This window comes from Homo sapiens, chromosome 3 (assembly GCF_000001405.40).
Source record: "Homo sapiens chromosome 3, GRCh38.p14 Primary Assembly".
NCBI classification, from domain to species: Eukaryota; Metazoa; Chordata; class Mammalia; order Primates; family Hominidae; genus Homo; species Homo sapiens.
Window position 1 is genome coordinate 17,256,940 of NC_000003.12, and position 24,638 is coordinate 17,281,577.

The 24,638-nt window shown below is 36.8% G+C and overlaps 1 protein-coding gene across 65 annotated transcripts in view; it reads right to left on the minus strand.

Annotated features, from left to right (window-relative positions):
* The window catches only part of TBC1D5 (TBC1 domain family member 5), a 585,470-nt gene that overhangs the window by 99,778 nt on the left and 461,054 nt on the right, over positions 1–24,638 (minus strand). For all 65 annotated transcript variants that reach the window (XM_047449296.1, XM_011534283.4, XM_047449314.1 and 62 more), the window contains one exon: positions 1,567–1,652. In XM_047449296.1, coding sequence (XP_047305252.1) covers positions 1,567–1,652 — 86 coding nt within the window. The remainder of the gene's footprint in view (positions 1–1,566; positions 1,653–24,638) is intronic.

Below are 24,638 nucleotides of genomic sequence, written 5' to 3' on the forward strand. Positions count from 1 at the left end.
TAGGTGCACAGGCCCTAAGCAAGGGCAAATAACAGAGAAGGCTGATGTGGCTGTAGCATGAGAATGAAGAGAAGGAGAGAGTGGAAGGAGATAAGGTCAAAGAGATAGGAAAGGGCTTCAGGAAGAAGACTGGATAGCCAGTGGCAATAGGAAGCCTTTGGAGATGTTTACATGGAGGTATGATATAACCTGTTATAAATTGACATTTAGTTGGCTGTTGTGTAAAAAATAATCTTGTGGGGGTTGGGAGGGAGGGGAAGACAAAGGATTCCAGCTAAAAAGGTCTTGTATAAAGAAAAAGACTAACATACTTTGTTCTTTTAAACATAACAAAACTAAATATCTGACATAATGGGAAGAAATATAAGTGACTAGGGTGTAAGACTACTGAAGGCAGGGATTTTGGTCTGGGTTTTTACTGGGCATCTCCTGTGTTTAAAATAATCAATCTGGCAGTCATTAAAACTCTGTTGAATGATCAAGTGACTATAGCAAATAAATTTTTATTTGTGTAACAAGACTCAGATGAAATGAACAAACAGAAAAGAGCTTCAGATAAGTCTCATGAGCTACAGAACTGGTCTCATAATTGCATGGTACATCAATATATGGAGCAAACAGATTTCAATCAGAGATGGGGAGTTTTATAACAACATTACACTAAGACAAGGTTCAAATTTCAAGTTTAAATTTAGCCATTTTGTTGTAAACTTCTTCTCATCCCTTAGACTATGAGTTCCTATGCAGCAGGAATTATAACTTATTTTTAACTCTCCAGTAACAGCAGAACACATTGTGTATATGTATTCCATAAATGTATATTTAGGCTCTTGGAATTCTACTGAAGAAAAGCTAACACATAGGCAAAATGCTTGAGGAAGAAAATTCGGACAACTTGGCAGCATTTATCATTACTAACATTTTAGTCTTCCAGAGTAAACTTTGAAATTACATTCTAATTTGAAATGATTCTGGTTTGACAAGTTAACTCTTGAGACATCTCAATATGATATTATGAAAGAACAAAACCATTCATCAACCCTTTCTGCCAATGTTAACTTCTTTAAAAAGTAGGATTTTAATGTTTTTTATTCCTACAGTGACCCTTAAAATTTCTATGTATGCAATCACAAATGTACACACAAGATGCATTTATAAGCTTATTGTGTAGTTCTAAAGACAGTTGGGAAACACATTTTTAATTTTGTTACTGAAATAATTTAAAAATATATTATAAAACTGTCTCTTTTCAATCAACAGCAAAAATCTAGAAAGAGATTATACAAGTAGGCACAATTTATGCAAGTTTATTCATGTTAGAAAAATGAAGTTGCCTAACTTCAAATTGTAACAAGTACTCTTATATTTATTTTTCGTCTTACCATTGACATCAATATATAGCATTTTTTATGCCTTTAAAATAACTTGGGTAATTTATTTAACAAAGATTCCTTATGTACATATGCTAAAATCTGGAAAATTGTTTTCAGCAATATGTAAAATTTCCTGATGATCTCTGAGACTACCTTTGTGATTTATAACTATCATCAGAAAAAGGGGACTTACCGGCTTTTATTCATGAGGTCTGCTCCTCGTGCTTTGTAATAATCTAAATTTGGATGGAATTGATAAGTCACTGGTCTTGGATTTCTCTAAAAAAAAATACATTTTTAAAAAGCTAGTTAAATGATTTAATCCATTAACATATAAGAGGACAGCAATGATCATTTTAATATCCCTTCAGAAAAGAATATGTATAATATAAAGTTTAATAATTAGTGTGATTGGGTTTTGCTTTTATTAAATTATTCCTTACTTCTGATTAAACACAAAAATTATTTATTTTTTCCTCTCTCATAGTTAATATTTATTCATCATTAGATTTCTGATGACTTCAAAATAAAATTTTCAAATATAACTTTCCTAAAATATGATGAATAAAATTATAATAACATCTAAAAACTATATGAGATGTAACACAACCACAAACTATGCCAAGGGATGGAGAGACATAAGGTGTCAAGGTAACTGCATTTCGGGGGAAGAGAAAGTCATTAGTTTTTTATGACCAGAATGCTAAATGTGTCCACTAGATGGCACACTGAGACTTTCTTGTTCCAAAATGAGTTATTTTCAGAATTCAGCAATTCTTTTAAAGTTAGCAATTTCTATGTCATCTATCCTTATTTATGAGTTTAATAAATGGTCAAAATATGCCAGGTAGTAGAAATATTACCAGGATAACCATTACTATACAAAAGCAAATTGACCAATGCACATTTTCACAAAAGTAGCAAAAACACTGCCCTTTCTAGAATGCAACATTATTTATAAACATTGCAGAAATGTCCTTGAATCATTAGGTCCACGGTGTCTGTTTATATGTGTTGCTATTATTTAAACATATCTATTATTTAAATGTTCAAATCCCTCACAGGCGAGTAAAAATTAAACAAATATACTTCTGCTTTACAAAAACCAATCATGTTTACAGCATAATTTAAATGAATACCATAATCTCTAAAATGTTAAATTACATATATTTACCATAAAAAGTTTTTAAAACCTTATAAATAAATGTGTTCTAATGTTTACCTGGGCAGATAATTCAAGTTAATAATTAGGTTTTTGAACCAAGGCATGCACTTCCTTTGAGATACATATCTGGACACGGAAAAGCTGCATATTATCTTAATAGAAAATTACCAATATGCGCAGAAATCAATCCTTGGAGACATAATTCCAAGGCACTGATACACTTGCATGCAGGCACGGGGGGGGTTGCGGGGGGATATAATTGCTAAGGTTAAACAGTTTGAAATTCATCAAGCGAACAAGCCGCATTTAATGGCCATGATGGACCTTTTCTTTTTCTGCTGAAAGGAGAATATTTATACAGCTCAACCCTTTCATATCTCTTCCAAGCCAGCCCTAATCATCTGACAAAAATGACAATCCCTTGATTTAGCTCCAGCTACTACTCCACTGGTTTGGTATTCAACACAGTTCTACAATAATCAAATCTGAATTGCCTTGATGAAGATAACTGATGCTTCCATGACGACCATACTATTAAGTCTAACAGTGCAACTTTTCTCTCTCTAGGAATTACATAGGTTTTCTCATGGTAGCTGATGACAACCTGGACCCAAGTATAATGGGAAAATAAAATAGAGGTTAAGGCCACTGGCAGATTGACAGTGCATTCATGATGTATTTTAAAAATTAACTTTCGCAGGACTATCGCTCATGACTAATTTTGCCCTTTATTCTCAGTACCTGGAAATACATTTTGTTTCTGCTAATAAAAAAAGACCCCTTTTCTCTGACTTCCAACAAACTACTAAAGGATTATGTTACTTTTTGCCATAAAATAATGAAAGAAGGGATCACATGGAGCAATTACTTGAAACATCTTTATAAAGAAATGACAAGCAATTCAAGACACAGAGTGCTGATCTATCTAAGCACTTAAAGCCATTATTAGGAATAATGATCTAACTTGAACATATAAATGAGGCTCAAGTATTGCTTTCACTGAGGCCTATTTAAATTCCTAAGAGACTTACTGGTATCAAAGGGAGAGGTAGTTTAAAGTACCACTGTACTGGAAACAAAAAAAAGAATCAAAAGATGATGTTGAAAAACAGCATTTGAAATGTGAAGAAAATAAAATCAGAGGTTATGGTTGAAAGTTATTCTTTTCTGTTGGGAAGACAGTGATGTTTCTAAAACATAAATATACAGACATATAGATGGATCTAGACCAGCACTGTCCAACAGTGGGTCACAAATATAAATTTCACCTATAATTTAAAATTTTCTAGTAGCCACATTTAAAAAAGAAAATAAAAAGGAAACAAGTGAAACTAAATGTGATATTTTATTTAATTCAGTATATCTAAAATATTATGATTTTAACATGTAATCAACATATACAGTTATTAATGAGATACTTCACATTGTTCCTTTTGTACAAAGTCTTTGAAATCCAGTGTGTATTTTATACTTATGGCACATCTCAATTTGGACTAGCCACACTTCAAGTGCTAAACAGCCACATGTGGCAAGTGGCTACTGTACTGGACAGCATAAAATGAAACATCTGAAACACCCGTACACCACTACATGGCTATAAAAATCAACATCTAGACATGAACAATAAAAAGGATACCAATATTTTTATACATTAAGATTCAGTAAGTACAGTTCTTCCAATTTACCTATAATTCTTCTCTTTCAATTAAGTTAATTTTATCTCTATTAAATAAGGTTTTAAAAAGTTAAGGAATTTTGGAATACCATCTCACACAAACAACAACCAAAACAAAACCAAATTGAAACTAGGTAACAGGTTCAAATCATTGTTAAAAATACATATATAAATGTACACATAAAGGTCAATGGATAGATAACTGGGACGTACCAAAATGATATCAATGGTTTTCCTAGGGGGACAAGATTAAATGAGCGGAATTCTCACTTTATGCAATCGAAATATTTTAGAAGAGATACTTGCTCCTTTTTTGGGGGGTGGGGTGGGGTGGGGGGGGAGACAGGGTCTCATTCTGTCGCCCAGGCTGGAGTGTAGTACTGCTATCTTGGCTCATTGAACCCTTGACATCCCAGGCTCAAGTGATCCTCCCACCTCTGCCTCATTGCAGCCTTGACATCCCAGGCTCAAGTGATCCTCCCACCTCAGCCTCCTGGTAGTTGGGACTACACGCATGCACCAACATGCCTAGATAATTCTTTTATTGTTTTGTACAGATGGGGTTTTGCCATGCTGCCCAGGCTGGTCTTGAACTCCTGGAATCAAGTGAACCACCCACCTCAGCCTTCCAAAGTGCTGTTATTACATGTGTGAGACACCACGCTTGGCTAATATTTGCTTTTCTTAAAGGAGTTTTTTTTTTTTTTTCAAATAAAACTTTATAAAAATATAATGATTTCTAACCTTTAAAGTTCTGGAATCTCCTCTAAAATATAAGAGCTACTAGAATTCTATATATGTAAAACTCTATATGTAAGAAAAATCAGACCCCATGAAAACTGTGATTTCTCATTGGGCAGAACATGTTATGTCAACACTTTAACATTATGTCTTCATCTGTATTGGAACAATTGGCAATTACAGTCATGTGTTGCTTAATGATGGGGATACGTCCTGAGAAATGTGTCATTAGGTGATTTCATCATTGTGTGAGCATCACAGAATATATTTTACAAAAATCTAGATGGTATAGCTTATTACACACCTAGGTTATATGATACAGCTCATTGACCCCAGGCTACAAACCTGTACAGCATGTTACTGTATTGAATACAGTAGACAGGTACAACACAGTGGTATTTGTGTACTTAAACATATTAAAACAGAAAAGGTACAGTAAAAACATGGTATTATAATCTTATGGGACCACTATCATATGTGTGGTCTGTTGTTGACCCAAATGTCATTATGCAGTACATGACTGTATTTTAAACTCATTTTGACACAGTCGGGACTTCAACTATCATGAGCATTTCCAAAACAATGTTTTTTTTTTTTTTTTTTTTTGAGACAGGGTCTTGCTCTGTCGCCCAGGTTGGAGTGCAGTGGCGCGATCTCGGCTCACTGCAAGCTCCACCTCCCAGGTTCACGCCACTCTCCTGCCTCAGCCTCCCGAGTAGCTGGGACTACAAGCGCCCGCCACTACGCCCAGCTAATTTTTTGTATTTTTAGTAGAGATGAGGTTTCACCATGATAGCCAGGATGGTCTCAATCTCCTGACCTCATGATCCACCCATCTCGGCCTCCCAAAGTGCTGGGATTACAGGCGTGAGCCACCACACCCGGCCGACAATGTATTTTTTTTTTAAATGCGTTTGTTTTGGTGAATTTTCCTTTCGAAGAAAGATAGCAAAATGGTAATCATATCTTAACTGATATTAGTCTGTGTGCAGAGGAATACCAATTATGTTCCATGTCCTGGGAAGTTTATATAACTATACATAAAGATGTAGGCTGGGTGCAGTGGTTCATGCCTGTAATCCCAGAACTTTGGGAGGCTGAGGTAGGAGGATCGCTTGAGGCCAGGAGTTTGAGACCAGACTGGGCAAAATAGCAAGACCACAGTCTCAACAAAAAATAAAAAAAATTAGCTGGGCATGGTGGTACATGCTGCTGAGGCAGGAGGATCACTTGAATGCAGTTTGAGGCTGCAGTGAACTATGATCATGCCACTGCATTCCAATCTCGGTGACTGCGAGATCCTATCTCTTAAAAGGTAAGACAGCCGAGTATGGTGGCACATGCCTGTAGTCCCAGCTACTTGGGAGGCTGAGGCTGAGGTAGAACAGCTTGAGTCTGGGAGGAGGAAGTTGCAGTGAGCTAAGATTGTGTCACTGCACTCCAACCTGGGTGACAGAATGAGACCCTGTCTCCAAAAAAAAAAAAAAAAAAAAGAGAAAGAAAAAAAAGAAATGAAGAAAGAAAAAAGAAAAGTACAGAAATCACAAATTCAAATTCAGTTCATCCTGAGTTTACCATGCCTTTCCTAGGCCAACCAGGATGGGCCTGAAATAAGTCTTTCACAAGATTTCAGTTCATTAACTGCCCAAGTATCACTCAACTCTTTTCTGTTAATGTTGTTGAAACTCTATTTACAGCTTTTTCTTCAGCATTTTATTTTATAGCAATATAAGAAGAATGCTGAACATCAAACCCATGGCAGGGACAGGCTGAATTTTGGGCAGGTATCTTAAAGTCTTGTGGACAAAGTGACTTACAGAAGCAGAACTGACAGTGGTAGATGCAAGTTTTCTAGAAGAAACAATATGCAAATAACAAATCAAAACTAAATAAAGCCCATGCTACGCTTCTGACTTTGCAAAATGCTTCTGTTAATTTAGCATCATCACAAAATCGACTTACAATAATGCTTAAATAACAGCAATCAAAATAGATAAAAACTGAAATCGATCTAAGTTATAGTTAACTCTGTCCACTTCTGAGGTATATATTATATGAGAGTAGACTGCTCTTTAATGTAATTTTAGGTAAAACAAACATTCTGTCCAAGAATGAGTTTGACTTTGGATGGTGAACAACTCCCCTTGGCCATACTCTGCACTCTGTAATGGAAGTCTGTAGATCAGCTGACCTACCTCCTCTCTGCCACTCTTACCCCTATGGCAACATTTCAATATTTTAAGTCCAAACTCATTTTGTTATGATAGTATAAAAATATTTAAATGCTAATTCACACTAAGCCTAACTAAATACTAGATGCTACAAGAAGTACACATAACTATAAGGTGGTACATATTTTCCTTCTACTGAGTCTAGAGAAATCAAACTCATCCAACAAAGGTAATTACAAACAGTACTTTCTGGACTGATCCCCTAACTCCTGTTCTTTACTCCAAGGTGGTATCTCCATTTGAATCATCAAATAGAGATTACAGAAGGAGAAGTCTCATCTTGCTTTGAACAGCAGAGTATATTTCAAAGGACTGGCTATTTATAAATATTGGCAGAACTGAAAAGAGCAAAAGAATATCAATTCCAGAGATGCCTGTTCTAATTTATTAAAGTACCAGCAGGAGTTAATGTAGAGGTGAAGTTATACGTTGAAAACAAAAGCACTAGGGTAAATATATTGGCACTCATGTGCTCTAGCATCAGGCGCAGGGTGCCTGATAGGTGAGGCAAGGGATCAGGAGTCAGTGAGGGTCGTACTCAGATTCCTGCTCCATCCATTACTAGTGGAGCAACTGTAATGAGTTAGTTACATTCTAAGCTCTAGTTCACTCAACTGCAAAACTGCAGTAAGGATTAATTGACACAATGAGAACTAAGTTCCCAGCACAATACCAGGCACTTGATAAGAACTCAATGAAATGGAAGCTATGGTTACGTTTTGATACCACTGAGCACTGACAGACATGAATCAGAGGGCAGGTCTGACAGTTTGACGACCTAAAATTCATGATAACAAATAGGTGGAAAAAGTGATGTTTCATACTTCAAATAGTTATACATGAATTTAGGATAGATTTTGACAGGCATTATATTTTTTAAAGCAAAAACACATAGAAAAAATATGAATGCTGGATCTCATGTGAGGAGAGAGGCTGTCTTATTTCTCAGAATAGGAGCACATAGGTTTATTAATATGAAAAAGGTGTAAAATCATACTATTAATGCAGCATTTGTTTGCTAGCATATGAGAATATAATAATCAAAGTGATTTCCTGCAGTATGTCCAAATTATCATTTTTATAAAACTATAAAACTATAAAAATGATAGTCACAATTTTTACATTAAACTGACAAATTCTATAGCACTTGTTTAACAGGAAAAAATATTTACAGTATAATGTATGTTTGGCATGAAGAATAGAAAATATTTGACAAATGAAGAATTACTTAGCTTTCTTTCCCCTAATATCTTGCTACCAACCCTTAATTTTTATAGCATGCTAGATTACAAAAGGGGAAAAATAAAGCTCTGAAGGAGAAACAGCACTGTAAAAATATGTCGAACGTTCCTCTTTGATGAAAAATGAGACCCTTATTTTAGTGAATATGTTATTGCCTCAATGCTGGGGGGAAAGCAACCGTCATTAGAAAAATGAATTGCTCAGCTGTTTATAAGCAAAAAGCTCTGGGGGAATTTCTCAGGACCCCAAAGGCAAAGCATTACAGGGTTATGCAAACATATGTTGCAGGTGTTTTAGGGGAGACAGGTGGGCAAACCTCAGCCATGGAAGAAGAGTTAGTTTAATACGCTGTAACTGAAATGAGATAACCTAAATACATCCAAGTGCAGAGATGCCATGGCACGCGTGAACTAGAGCTGCAGAGCAAAAACTCTCCCTAAAATAATTATCTCGTTAGTGCCAAGCAAACAGAATTTTTCTCTTCTTATAGTTTTATAGAAAACAAACACTGCCAATTGCTTTTTTTTTTTTTAACTGAAGGTATTTTAAACCTGGAACAAAGAACAGCCTGAAATAGTGGTAATTATCTAAAAAAGATAAGGATTAAGTATTGTTGCCTTTATTTAAACAAATATTCCTAAGGAGACAGTTTGTTGTAATGTTCCCTCTCTGGTTCACTAGGCAACATTAGATTTATCATAATTCTCCTAAAGCCTAAGATATTTCTATATTAAAATGCTAATTTTGTCTTTTCTTTTGCCTGTAATTAAAGCTGGAAAAATTTGTGGTCTGATATTCACTGATTGCTAGAGGGTTCACAAAGGTCTCACCATTTCTGTCTCTTATTGCCACTTACTGCCCTTTTCATTAAATACAGATACAGTAACACAAGGAATCAAAAAGGCAGACGTTATAATCCCACATGCTCTCAAAATTATTCCCTTTAAAATACATATGCACACTGTATCAATAAGGGATATTGCCTGAATATTATCTAAATATTATCAAACCTAGACTTTGTATCTTATTTCTTATTCTTCATTTATCCAAGAGTTGATTTTCTTCTTATATTACTTGTGACTAAGGACAATATTCATTTTACTATACATATTTATGCATAATAGTATATTGAGCTGTACCTTCCTGATCTAAATCACTTTTCTTTAACAGCCTTACCATGAGTTAATTTCATATACTTAGTATAAAATAAATTCACAAAACCTCAGATTTGGAAAATAAAACCTAGTTTTTGTTTTAAATAATACACAAAATTCAAAATGTGTGAATACAATGCATCCATCAAATTAATACAGATTTTCATTAAAAAAGAATATAAATATTTGTAACTTGGTTGTGACTAAAATATTATTTCAGCATCAGGATCAAAATGACTTCTGGTTTATTTACTAATAATTCCTATGTATTTTGATGGGAAAACATATATTGTGAAAACTAGGTATTAAGAATCTTAGGGCAATTGATAGAAAAATCTAGGTAATTCTCATTTATGCATCTATAGAGTAAACCAAAAAAAGAAAATTTAGAAGAGAAAAAGTTTAAAAAAAAAGGAAGCAAAAACACCGTTAATTGGGTAAAGACACAGACAAAACCTCTGAAGCCATGCCAGCCTCATTTTACATACTGAATAAACCCAATTCCCTAAAGTGACATCCCCATCTATACCCTGGCAAGCCGAGATCTCAGATGGCAGAGAAGCATTTTAAACCACCTGTGCGTTATGCTCGACTTTAGCTTCACACAATAAATAGACACCAGAAGAGAAATAAATTTTTTTCTTTTACTAATGTATTTACATTTTTGAATTTAGCGTGCAGAAAGATGCCAGAGTAACATACCCCCTACCCTCAGTTTGTTATTTATATATATGGAAAGTAGGAGTTTAGGTCTACAAATTTTCTTTGTTGCTAATACTGGGCCTCAAAATATGTCTTTTAGATAACTGGTTGGCTCTTTTCAGTAGTACTGAACTCTTCACCTTTTTCCTTCTTCAATGTCAGTAATGGTGGGGGTGGGAGAGATTTACTTCAACGCTTTAAGAAATATGGAAATCCATTTGTCTGTTCCTAAGAGCGGTTCCCAATCTTTGTTAAAGAAAAAAAGGAAAAAAGTGATCTCAAAAAAATATTCCTAAAGATTCCAATTTGGGAAACAGAGGTAAAGTCTGATATAAAAGTTATCATTGCAAATTTTTATTTTTAGAAATGTTAGAACAGTTTAATCAAGTAACCATCGAAATAGAGGCAATTTAAAAATACTGTTAGAATTTTTGAACCCCCAAGAATAAGTCCTTGGACTGAGAACTCTGATTTGGAAAATTTTTCTCCCATCTTCTTTTTCCTGTCTTCTTCTCTTTCAACACCTGCTTTTGGAATTGCCAAGGCAACAAAAACCAAGGTCCTGCACATGAAGCCTGGTAGAAGGAAGCTTTGCACAGCCACACTTTTAATGCAACTGGGGCAGTAATTTCAATGAAAAAACATCTTGGAATTAAAAATTCATTTATTGTAAAAACCCATTCTTACCAAGGTCATTTGCTTCCACTGTATTTTTTGTGAATCTTATTAGTAAAAAGTGAAATATGAACTTTGAAATTTCTAAGTGAAGGAAGAAATCACGATGCAAACACAAATAACACCTAGATTTGAGTTGTATTTTCCTGAGTGAGCCTGTTATCTATATAGGGGAAAGTATGTCAAGTTAGACCACAGAGAAGACCATGGAGAAGAGTCCATGTAGATGGACTTTTGCCTTTGGATTATCTTATTCTAGACTCCATGTGTCATTTTAAAAAAGAACACTAATCTTAGATGTGAATTTCTCTAAATAGCAGATAGTGTTGTAAAATATTTTTAATCAATAATCTTTGATACAGCTCTGCCTTAAAACCAACTACTTTAATAATAATGATTGGAAAACCAATTACATGCTGCTTACATAATATCTATGCTATGTGTTCTTAATATTTTTTATGCCACAGAATCCTCTGCTTTCTGGTAAAGATTTTGGTCTCCTTTCTAGAATAATGTTTTAAAAAATGCATAAAATAAAGTATATCGGGTAATAAAGAAAATAAAAAAATAGTAACAGAATACTGAACAAAGTTGTAATATACTCACATGTGCTTTTATATTAATAATTATATGACAAGATATAGTGGCTGGTATGATCATTAGTATAATTTTAAAGTAGTAATGAATGTAAATAGTATTTCAAGATATCTTCATGAACTGTAATCGGATAGGAAAACTCTGTGAGTGTTATTAGTGACAATGTTTCAGATACTGCTAATAATATTGTAGTTTGTTGCCTATACCCATATTTGAAGAAAATATAAATTTCAGTAAGGGCTTAATGAAAATAAAGATGTAAATTTTTCCCATCCAACTTCCCAGACCCCTTAAATTCCATCAAGAGACCATTCGGGGGCTTGATGCCTTTTTCCAGAAAACTGAAAGGTGATTTTGGCTAACAGCTTTCCTCTTGGGAAGGTTTAGTCTTATGGATACTACTATACTAGTTTCTTAACTCTTTTACTACTGAATGAATATGTTCGGGGTAGTAGTCAAAACATAAAACAAGTGGTTTAGTATAGGCAGCTACCATCAGGACCTATAGGGATCCAGGAAGAAATGCCTGGAAAGCCCCTGCCATGCCAGGATTTAACCCCTCTGATACTGAATTTCTTTAGCTACTTACACATAAGTACTTCAACATTTTAGTAACTGTTATAAGCTGCAACACCAGATGAATGGCAGCCAGCCCTGGATAGGAGTAACATTTAGGATTGGGGCATATTTAGATGCACAAGTTTTGGCCCAGATAACATCCAGTACCTCACCTGAATAAGAAGTCTAGGAGGGGTCAGTGGGGAGAATGAAGGGAGAATGCTCACGAACAGTGAAGTAAGTTGTCTACTTCTGAAGAGCCTACTCTTTCTGTGCTAACTCCTCTGAGAGGGTTTCTGTTGCTGTGGGACTGCCGATAGCAGAGAGATTTGTAGTGGTCTGTTCCCTAAGTAGAGCTGTCCACAGATTACTTGATTGTTTTAAGAGGTAGCTGAACTTTCTTAGTCTGCAGCCAGAAATTGACTATTTCTTCTTTAACTTCAATTTTTATTTTAGATTCATGGGGTACATGTACAGGTTTGTTTCAAGGGTATATTGCATGATACAAAGGTTTGGGCTTCTATTAATCCCATTACCCAGATGGTGAACACAGTACCCAATAGGAAGTTTTATGGGTCTTGTCTCCCTCCCTCCCTCCCTCCCTCCTTCTGGAGTCTCTAGTGTCTCCTGTTTCTGGGTTTAGGTCAGTTGAACCCAAGATATAGCTCCCATTTGTAAGTGAGAACATGTGATAATTTGGTTTTGTTTCTGTGTTAAGTCACTTAGGACTATGGCCTCCAGCTACATCTATGTTGCTGTAAAGGACACAGTTTCATTCCTTTTTATGGCTGTGTAGTGTTCCATGGTGTATATGTACCACATTTTCTTTATCCAATCCACCACTGATGGGCTCCTAGGTTTATTCCATGTATTTGCTGTTGTGAATAGGGCTGCAATTAACATAAGCATGTATGTATCTTTTACTTAGAATGATATATTTTCCTTTGGGCATATACCCAGTAATGCGATTGCTGGGTTGAATGGTAGTTCTATTTTTAGTTCTTTGAGAAATGTCCAAACTGCTTTCCATAGCGGCTGAACTAATTTACATTCCCATCAACAATGTGTAAGAGTTCCCTTTTCTCCGCAGTCTCACCAACATCTGTTATTTTTCAACTTTTTAATAATAGTCATCCTGACTGGTGTGAGATGGTATCTCACTACAGATTTGATTTGCATCTCTGATGATCAGTGATGTTGAGCATTTTTTCATATGCTTGTTGGACACTTGTATGTTTTCTTTTGAGAACTGTCTGTTCATGTCCTCTGTCTACTTTTTAATGGATTTTTTTCCCTTGATTTGTTTAAGTTCCTTATACATTTTGGATATCAAATCTCTCTGCTATCAGTCCCGCAGCAATGGAAACCCTCTCACAGGAGTTAGCACAGAAAGATTGAGCTCTTCAGAAGTAGACAAGAAGTAGACTTACAGTGAAGTAAGTAGAAGGCTCATTTACTTCACTGTAAGTGAGCATTCTCCCATTATGCAAAGTTTGCAAATATTTTCTCCCATTCTGTAGGTTGTCTACTCTGTTGATAGTTTCTTTTGCTGTGCAGAGCCCTTTAGTTTAATGAGTTCTCACTTGTCAGTTTTTGTTACAGTTGCTTTTGAGGACTTAGCCATAAATTATCTGCCAAGGCTGATGTCCAGAAGAGGATTTCCCAGTTTTTTTCCCTAGGATTTTTATAGGCTGAGGTCTCACTTTTAAGGCTCTGATTTATCTTGAGGTAATTGTTGTATATGGTGAAGGTAGGAGTCCAGTTTCATTCTTCTGCATATAGTTAGCCAGTTTTCCCAGCACCACTTATTGAATAGAGAGTCTTTTCCCCATTGCTTATTTTTGTCAGCTTTGTCAAGTATCAGTTGGCTGCAGGTGTGTTGTCTTATTTCTGAGTTCTCTATTCTGTTCCATTGGCTTATGTGTTTGTTTTTGTAGCAGTACCATGCTGTTATGCTTACTGTGGCCTTGTAGTATAGTTTGAAGTCAGGTAATGTGACATCTCCAGCTTTGTCCCTTTTGCTTAGGATTGCTTTGGCTATTCAGGCTCTTTTTCAGTTTCATATTAATTTTAGAATAGTTTTTTCTAACTCTGAAAAATGGAATTGGGAATTTGATAGAAATAGCAGTTTTGAATCTGTAGATTGCTTTGGGCAGTAGGACATTTTAATGGTATTAATTCTTCCAATCCATAGCCTGGAATGTTTTTCCATTTGTTTTTGTCACCTATGATTTCTTTCGGCAGTGTTTTGCAGTTCTCCTTGTAGAGACCTTTCATGTCCTTGGGAAGATGTACTCCTAGATACTTTTCTGTGGCAATGGTGAAGGAGATTACATTCTTGATTTCGTTCTCAGCTTACATTGGTGTACAGATATACTACTGATTTTTCTACATTGATTTTGTATCCTGAAACTTTACTGAAGTTGTTTATCAGGTCTAGGAGACTTTTGGTGGAGTCTTTAAGGGTTTTCTAGGTATAGCATCATATTGCCAGAGAAGAGAGATACTCTGACTACCTTTTTTCCTACTTGGAAGCCATTTATTCCATTCTCTTGCCTGACTGCTTTGGCTAGGACTTCCAGTACTATGTTGAATAGGAGTGGCAAGAGTGGGCAACCTTATCTTCTTCCAGTTCTTAAGGGGAATGCTTCTAGCTTTTGCCTGTTCAGTATGATGTTGGCTGTGGGTTTGTCATAGATGACTCATTATTTTGAGGTATGTTCCTTCAATGCCTAGTTTCTCGAGGGTTTTTTATCATGAAAGGATATTGGATTTTACCAAAAGATTTTTCTGCATTTATTGAGATGATCATATGGTTTTGTTTTTAATTCAGTTTATGTGGTTACTATACAAGACGACCATCTGCAACCCAGTCATTAGACTTTCCAAGGCCAATGTGAAAGGAAAAATCTTAAAGGCAGCTAGAGAAAAGGGAAATATCACCTACACAGGGAACCTCATCAGAAGAAGTCACAATGGAACAGTAATCTGAAGGATGAATAGGCATTTACAACATTTGTGTTGTTGGGAGAGAGTTATGGAAAGGAGAGGTGCAGCTTAGTGAAGAAAGAATGAACTTATTGCTGTTGCGATTCTTAGAGATCTCATCAGCTGTTACACTGTGACTTATTTTTCTAGACTGTACTACTTAATGATTATTGATATCTAGAATCTTCAAACTTTATGTGTTATACAAGTATATAAAAAGCAATAGACAATTTTTTTAAAAATCAACAAATGATACACTGTACTATTAAATTATTTAGGAGTTGTTCTATATAACTGGAAACTTAGACAAGGTTTAAGAAAGAATTAGCTCATTTATGAGGCATCAATTAAGCAGAAAATTTAATGAAATAAACCACAGCTTAAATATGCCACAAATGAAGTCAAGCCCATGTAGTCTTCTTCCTCTTATGGAAGAAACATATAACATCAGTTATTATTTACTGGTACCAAGTAGGTGCCAGACCACATTAGTTCTTTTACAAATATTATCTCAGTCTTAAATTTTTCACAAAAAAACTCATTACCATTTTATAGGTAAAGAAAGAGGTTCGGAATAATTAGTAGTTTGGCCAAAGTTATATGAGATGGTAAGGGAACAGCCAGGAACTGAACCCAGTTCTATCTTCAAACTTCTTCTGGCTAAACATACCATAAGGGTTCATGAAAATATGAAGAACATTGTTAATTCTCAGTTTTCCTTTGGGAATAAATAATACAAGTTCCAAGTATATGGCATTGATAATACTTCGTAATTTTCCACATCTCCCAAAATTAAGAATGAAAAACTGAACATATTACTTTAACAAATAACTGATTGGGAAATGCTAAAGTATATGTGTTTGAAAATAGTCATTCCTTTGTAATCAACAGCACTATGTTGCTCATTTATTTTCATCCCAACAGTCCTCACTATTTTCACTTCTCCCTTCCTTTTTCTCAACCCTCTACAATCTTATTGCTTGACTTTTATTTTTTTATGTCACTGTTTCATTCTGAAAGAGCACTTTAATTTCCCCTTCAATGCGTACCCTAAATATGTAAACAACTTTCAACAGGCTCATTTATTTTAAATCTCAGTTGATTTCTCTGTAACATTTGCCACTCATCATTTTCCATGTTGCTAGAATTATCTACCCTCAGGCAATTATAATTCTGTCTTCTTACAGTTTTCCCACATTCTGAATCTTCTCCATACACTCCTTCTTCTTGACCCTACCATCTCTTTGATACCATTTCCTATGATTCCCTTCCTAGCTCACATCTCATTTCCCCAAAATATCATTCCTGGACCACTTACATTCTCTCAACTACCATTAATACTTATACTCGAAGACTCCTAAGTCTGTAATTCTGGTCCAGATCCCTTCTTAGAGCTCTAGGCATACATTCCCAATTACCCTCTGGATATTTCTACCTGGATATCCCATAACCTCCTCAGAATTGACTCATTATCCAACCTTATTCTTACACGCAGCCACCCTCTGCAAATTTGCTAATCTGCTTGGGAGGCCAAGATGAGTGGATCACCTGAGGTCAGGTGTTCGAGACCAGCCTGGCCAACATGGCGAAACCCTGTCTCTACTAAAAACACAAAAATTAGCCAGGTGTAATGGCAGGCGCCTGTAATCCCAGCTACTTGGGAGGCTGAGGCAGGAGCATCGCTTGAACCCGGGAGGTGGAGGTTGCAGTGAGCTGAGATCGCGCCACTGCACTCTAGCCTGGATGACAAGAGCAAAACTCTGTATCTCAAAAAAAAAAAAAAAAAAATTGCTAATCTGCATATTTTCCCAGTAACTCAATCAATAGTTGAAGACTTGGGAAATGCAACAAATTGTTCATGGCTTACAGCTAATTACCCACCAAGCCTTGTTGATACTCTTTCTTAAAAGTTCCTTGAAGTTATCTACTGTTTTCTGTTTTCAAGAAGCTCAAAGTTTAACTGTATTTAATTAAAAAAAAAAAAAAAAGAAGGAAGAAAGGAAACAAAAAGGCAAAGAAGGAAACAGAATGCTCATATTACCTTTATTCCACTGTTTGTTTTCCCACATCAAAAGGAATAGTTGGTAAAAAATAATACGAACTTTAATTTAAAAAACATATACATAGGTAAAAACACATTAAATCCTCTGATGAAATCCTTTAGGGCATCAACTGTGTTACCTCTAAGATACTGAAATCTCTCCTCCTTGTTTAATCAGAGGTCAATTCCTTTTGAATGAATATGTCCTAAATATATGCTGAAATTTTTTAGTTTTTGTTCATTGCTATTCCAAATACTGTTTCCTATGTGGTTGGTTAGTCTCTGGAACTCAAATACAAGAAAGTTCAAATAAGAGAGCTCAAATAAGATGTTATTAATTAAGCAAATTAAGTAGATGATCTCAAACTAATAGCTGACATTCTCATCAGTGGATTATCTTGTAAGTGGAATACATAATAGAAATGTTCAATTAGAACCTTTATGAGAAAATCTGGCTGGATTTCTCCAGATAATGGCTGGAAAGATGAGGGTTTACCTCTTTCTTGGGTTTACGAAAATCACTGCAACTATTCCTGTCACTTTTCTGCCTTCTACAAATTTTCCCACCTGGTGCTGTTCCTCAAAGGCAGCTCAAACCATGCAGGCACCATACAATACCCACTTTAAGTAGAATAAATCTGAAATACTCTCTATTTTTATTGCTGTTGTTGTAGAAAAAAAGAGACAATTGATGAATAAGGCACTTATATTGCAATAAGAACCTCAAGAAAAGTCCAGAAAGAATCAAGTCACTAAACAACTCCAACTTTTAACAGGATGATGGACAGACTTTGGGCTGACGATTTAGTGAAACAGAGCTTTCAGCTTTATCAATTCATATATCTTCAACACATTTTCAGTAAACACTACTGAAGATAAACTTGAAGGGGCTGTCAAAAAAGTGAAAAATAATAGTGTGCAGAGAAAACCTGAAAACTGAACTCTTAATTTACTGAAGCAACCATGGAGTAAAAAGATGTTAAAGTGTCAGTATCCCTAACAAGGTGAGTGAGGGGAGGAAACAATTATTTCCAATTTGCCTCTTCAGAAACCAATTTTAATAACAATGAGAAGTAAATCTGAGGTGCACCTAAGAATTGTGAATCAGTCAAATTCCAAAATTAACACTATTTGCCTCTGAGAAAAGGTATACAAAGCCTTCCTCAAAAATCTGGGTGGGCTGGGTATGGTGGTTTATGCCTGTAATCTCAACACTTTGGGAGGCTGAGGCAGAAAGATCTCTTGAGGTCAGTTTGAGACCTGCCTAAGAAACAAAGCAAGAAACCGTCTCTACGAAAGAGTGAAAAAAAATTAGCCAGGTGTAGTGGTGCACACCTGTAGTCCCAGCTACTCGGGAGGTTATGGGGAGGACCACTTGAGCCCAGGAATTCAAGGTTGCCCTGAACTATGATTGTGCCACTGCTCTCCAGCATGGGCCACAGAGTAAGACTCTGTCTCTTTAAACAAACCAACCAACCAACCAACCCCCCGTAACTAGGTGGTTTCCAGGTTAGCAAGACTTGATTATATCCCTTGTATGATTAATATATATCTAACAAAAGAAGATGTCATATCCCTTATATGTTTAATATATATCTAATGAAATAAGATGTCAATCAAAAGGGGTCTGCCAAGGAGGCAGAGAAGAGTCAAAGAGGCACATATGGGCAAAGCCAGTGGGAAAGACGGCCTGAGTTAGTAGGTAATGGACTGTGTAATTTCCAGGACCCCAGTAAGACTACCCTTACTGTGAAGTAGGTATCTTAAGAGTCTCAGAGTCCGGTTTCACTAAACATGCCTTCCCATCTGCTTCTACCTGATACCAGGTACTCCATGGAGATCTATGATTCTGATTGGGTTTTCCACATAGGTGTATAGTATGTTGGTATATGGAGTTAAGTAAGTTGTTTTTTTTCCTCATTGTAAGTGATCTGATAATGATGTGGCCTCCCATGTCTGTGTCTTAGTCTGTTTGGATGTTATAACAAAATACCATAAACTAAGTGGCTTATAAACAGAACAAATTTATTTCTCACAATTCCAGGATAAAGGTGGCAGCAGAGCTGGTGTCTGGTAAGGGCTCATTCCTCGGTTCATAGATAGTGCCTTCTCACTGTTTCCTTACGTGGTGGAAGGGGTGAGCTAGCTTTGTGGGGTTTCTTTTACAAAGGTACTAATCCCAACTATGAGGGGAGAGCCCTCACGACCTAATCACTTCACAAAGGCCCCACCTCCTAGTATCATCATCTTGGGTGGTTAAGATTTCAACATCTGAATTTTGGGAAACACAAACACCTAGACCCTAACAGCCTGCCACCAAAAGTGAATGGGATCAACATGGGGGCATGAGGATGGATGTCAGTCTTGTAGCTGCTCTAGGCCCCACTGCAGACTGAGAAAGAGACAAGAGACATGCCGGCTTTACATATCAGCCTTGCAAGCTCAGTTTGGATCTGTGTCAGAGAGATGACTTGGCTTTTCTGACAGCACTAGCAAAATCAGATTTCTCAGGATGTAAGATTGAGGGTCACAAGCTTCCCACAGTAACTTTTAGTTTTTCCCTTAGAGAGAGCCATCTCAATGAGCCCAGGAGGTAAAAGAACCAGAACATTTCCATTTTGGAGACAGAGACTGGCTGCTCACCAAATGTGCTTCTTCTTCTTTCTGTGCACATGGCTCTACTATGTTTTCTAAAGGCTCGCGTGATTAGGTGGAGCCACGGGACTGAGTTCTAGCCAATGGTATGTGAATGAAAGTGATACATGCCACCTGCATCCCTGATCATAAAACCTCCCATGCATGAATTGCCATGCTAATTTTTCATCCTGCTGGCAATGTCAATGTACAGGGCAACAATGGAAGGTAAAAGCTGAAGTTAACAGAGCTGGCAGAAGCCTGAAGAACTGTGTGAGCCTGAGACACCCCAGTCTGAATTACAATGGATTATTGCTCATGTGAAAACTAAACACCTACTGCCTTCAGCCACGGAAACACTGGGTTTCATTTGTTATAGCAGTTGGTCAACCTCACTAATATCCTATTAACAATTAAAGGAAACGATCATTATAGTAGACATACATATTTTATTCTCAAGAAGAAAAGTTGCTCAAGGTGAGAATATGTGAGTCTCAGATATTCATATTCTCAAAAGAAAATATGAAATTCTTCATATTTTCTCTCATGCTCTTTTCTTCTCACCTCCCCTCCAGTTCACACTATCACTCTAATCCTTTGAACTGGCTCTTTTGACAGGTTTCCTCTCATTTTCTATTTTATTACTTTTTTCTTACTGTCTTTCACATGGGTGGCACATAGTTCAAGAAAAAAGTCAAAGGTCAACTTCATTATAGAATAGTAATTATTATTATTATTGTTTCCCCCATCAATCTCGTTGGGCTTTACTCTTTGGAAACCCGTAGGCAAGACTTGGCAAACTAATTAACAGTATATCAATTTTCAAACTCGGTATTCCAACCATGAATGAGTGAGAAGTCAGAAGTAAACACTATTGTTGGAAGGGTAATCGAGCTGAAATGCATTATTGTGTGTTCCTTACAGAAGACCAAAGAGCTCCTGTTAACTTTCTTGTTAATAGGAATGTGGTCGTTCAGAACTGGGAAGAAATAGTGTGTGGGAGTAATAAGAACATTTTGCATTAGGAATCTGCAAGAAAGGCAAGGGCAAGAAGAAGGAAGAAGACAGATAGCTCCAAAGTGGGAACAGGAGCCAGGGGGCTAGGTCTTGGCTCTGCCACTGAATTCTGGATGACTCTGGGTATCTCACTGCACCCTCATCAGGCCTCAGGAGGAAATGAGAGTATTATCAAACGATCTCTAGAGTTTTAACCAGCTGTAATGAAATTACAAAATACAGAATAGTCCTATAACTGAATGTTTAAAATGACTTATTTTTAAACATCAGAACCATCTAGAAAAAGTGTACAATGAGCCCATGTTACCAGAACACAGTTTGACAACTAGGATGTGATAGGTATATTTCTCAGTGAAACTCAAGACCTTAGGAAATATAAAAAGCATCAAGTTTACCAGAGGAATGTGGGAGAACTCTGTCATCATAAGGATAAATTTAGACCCTGTGTCTTCTCAACTTGCCCCTGCTAACGGGTGTGTCTGTGGGACTACAGAACTATGTGTGTGCTGGGAGCCAGCCTCAAGATTCTCATCCTAGCTGAGCATCAGAATCACCCATGTCAGTTTTCAGTGGCCAGTGGTATACAGCAGGGGTCCTTCAACCTCTTTGATTATTCCTTTGCTCTAAAAAATTGAGGGGACTGGCACCTCGATATGTGTATATTTATTTATTTACAAATCATATGCATCCACTACTTGTACTAACCTATTTTGTATATTAGAAAATATATGCACAACAGAGTATTTAAATGAGATAGAAATGAATTAAGCTATATTTAATTTTCATAATAGTTTATTTACAGTGGTATTTTTTAAACAGTAGTGATATGATTCAATATGCTTCTGTACTTTTTGAAAACCTCTGTTACATGCTTTGTGAAGGTGAGTTTTTGAGACTGATACTCTGGAAAAAGCTACCTCATAAAGAGACATAGATCTGAATGAAAAAAAGAGATTGTTGGCTGCCCTTGGTAAAGTATGGTATTCATTTTGTAACCCACCAATTATGCCAAGGTTTTTGTTAAAATCTGGCTAATAAAATTTCTATATTCCTTAATGTTAATTAGCTCTTCTAAAAATCTAAGTGAAAGGTGTTGTGTTTCTGTGTTTAAAACAATTTCTAACTTGACTTATCTCTTAATCTGGAAGATTATTAACCATGTGAGAAATTATGATTCTGTAACTTTTAGGTGTTCTTTGAGAATTTTTAATAAGTGACACACTTAAATTATCTTTGTTAAGAACATCACAAATAGATAAAACATTTCCAAATTATCCACATCATGAATTTCTTTGAAAAAGCTCTTACTTTCATTATTAAAATGTTACCATTACCTTGAAGAGATAAATTGCTTATGTTTTCAAAATATTTTGCATGATACCATAGTACTGACAGCTATTTGTCACCACCACAAAGGTAAGCAAACTTGAAGCACACATTTTTTTACAAAAGAAATTATATTTGGCAATTCTTTTAAGTTCGTTAGCTGGAGATATCTAGTGAATCCACAATAGTTGTTCATGGGTCCTGACATCTCTCAGGTATTGTAAATATGCCCATCATTTAAGATAATGCAACCCACTTAACTGGGGACATGGCGACACCAACAAGACACAGGCATAAAATCAAATGGAGAAGTAAGGGGGCACTTTCAATCCCTTTGTATGCTGCAGTCCCCTTTCCCTTAAGAGACCTCAGAGGTGATCGCTCATGACTGGCTGACAAACATGGCATGTGAAGGAACCACTGTTTCTGTACACTAAATAGTAAAACTTAGTAAGCTTTACTCCTTTTGGAAAAAATGAATATAAACAGAAGTTTCATTATTTTCTTCTTGCACCCCTTTGGATTATCTTTGTATAGTCACTGTGCATGTACATACTCCACTTACTGGTTTAGAGTCTAGGCTTCTGGTTTTTTTAGGTGTTTGGCTTTCAATCTGTGTAGTAACTTTGTTCTCAGTCTAGTATCTGTTTCTTCAAGTGTTGTCCATGGCCACCAGTTTTGGAATAGAACAAATACAGAGTTCTGGGTCCTATCACAGATCTATTTACATTAGAATATCTGGGAATCTGTATTTTTAACAAGCTTCCTAAGGTGCTTCTTTTGCACACCACGGTTTAAGATCCAATGCATTACACTGAAAGCTTTTGAACAGATTATGTGTCCCTATTTCATTACATCACCAGCACCCAGGAGAATGGAGGCAATAAACACTTGGTAACTGAACTGCAATGAACATCGACTTCTCCTCCGGAAGAGAAATTTGAGGGCTTAGTTGGAGGTAATTAGTCACTATTCATCCCATCCATTCACTCATTATTGCAGGTACCCTGGAAATATCAGGGAATCAAACAGACAAAAAACATTGTCTTCACGGAGTTGATATAATGTCACGGAAAGACAGACAATAGAAAATAATATAACAAATCAGTAAACTACCTACTATAGAGATGGGGGCAGGGAGGTCTGCAGGGTGATTAGGGTAAACTTCACTGAGAAGCCTGGATCTGAAGACTTAAAGGAGGATGAGCAATCAGCCAAGTGGATATTCCTTTTGATAGGGACTGGAGGCTGGGAAATTCTGGACAGAAGAGGGCAGGTCCCTGGTGAGGGACCCACCCTTGAGCCTGGAGCTGTGGCCCAAACATCCCTGTTTTCCCGCTGGAAAGTTGCCTTTTCCAAAACCACCCACGGCCTGCCCCACTCCTCATCCCATGCCAATAAAAAACCCTATACCCATAAAAACCCCAGGTTCTGCCAGCAGAGAGGGGAGAGGAAGAGAAGAGGAGAAGCAGCTAGACATTGGAGACTATGGTTTGACGTCAAAGAGAAGCAGCTTGACTTCAGAGGGATGGTTTGATGGTGTCGCTTTGGAAAGCCGGACTCCAGGGGAAGATCATCTTCCTGCTCCATCCCCTTCTCAGCTCCCCTTCCCACTGAGAGCCACTTTCATCAGCAATAAAATCTTCTGCATTCATCACCTTTCAATTCAGCCGTGCGACCTGATTTTTCCAGATGCCAAAAAAGAGCTTGGACACCAAGCGTGTGGATGCAAAAGGCTGTCACACTGACCCTCCACTGAGCTATTAACACTTAAGCTGTCCACAGTCTGCAAAGCTAAAAGAGCATTGACTGTAACACTCCTTCTGGGGCTTCAGGGTGGGGGAGTGGGGGTACTCCCTGCTAGATGCTGCAGTGGGGCCCGCATGGAGTTTTGCTCCTTCAGGTGCCCAAAAGCACTCACCCCGGCTCCTGCAAGTGCTCCCTCCCGCAAGGGGTTGAGTGCAACAGGTTCAAGTGAGTGGAGTTTGCCTCTGCCGGTGCCAAAGCAGCCAGCTAGCTCCAGAGAGGGCACACCAGTTCCCACCCGTGAAGGGGTCAGGGAAAATTTCCTGCTTCATTCTCACTTGCCACAAATCCCATTCATACATCTTTACGTGTTTCAACCAAGACTTCTGAAAGATGGTTCCACGATGCTACTGATACATAGTAGGAGCTTAGTATATTTTGGCTAAATGAATAAAAATAGTATTTTAGAGAAAGACACAGTGTAGGGGAATCAAACTACAAAGTTCCTCTTTAAAACCAGAAAAAAACAACTAAGTAAATAAAGATCTTTTCCAAATCATATTAAGACACTTGGAAAAATGTGTAACTATCAGCATATGAGGACCATACTCATGTATCAAATGTCAGAGAAAAACCTCCTTCATAGTGCCACACTGGCCTCTGTCTGGAGGAGCTTGGAGGCTCACCCACGCGTACGAAGTGGTCACTCCAGGTTCGTGTGAATGGTCCAGTCACTACTGAGGTATAGAGAAAATCTTGCAGTATGATAAACT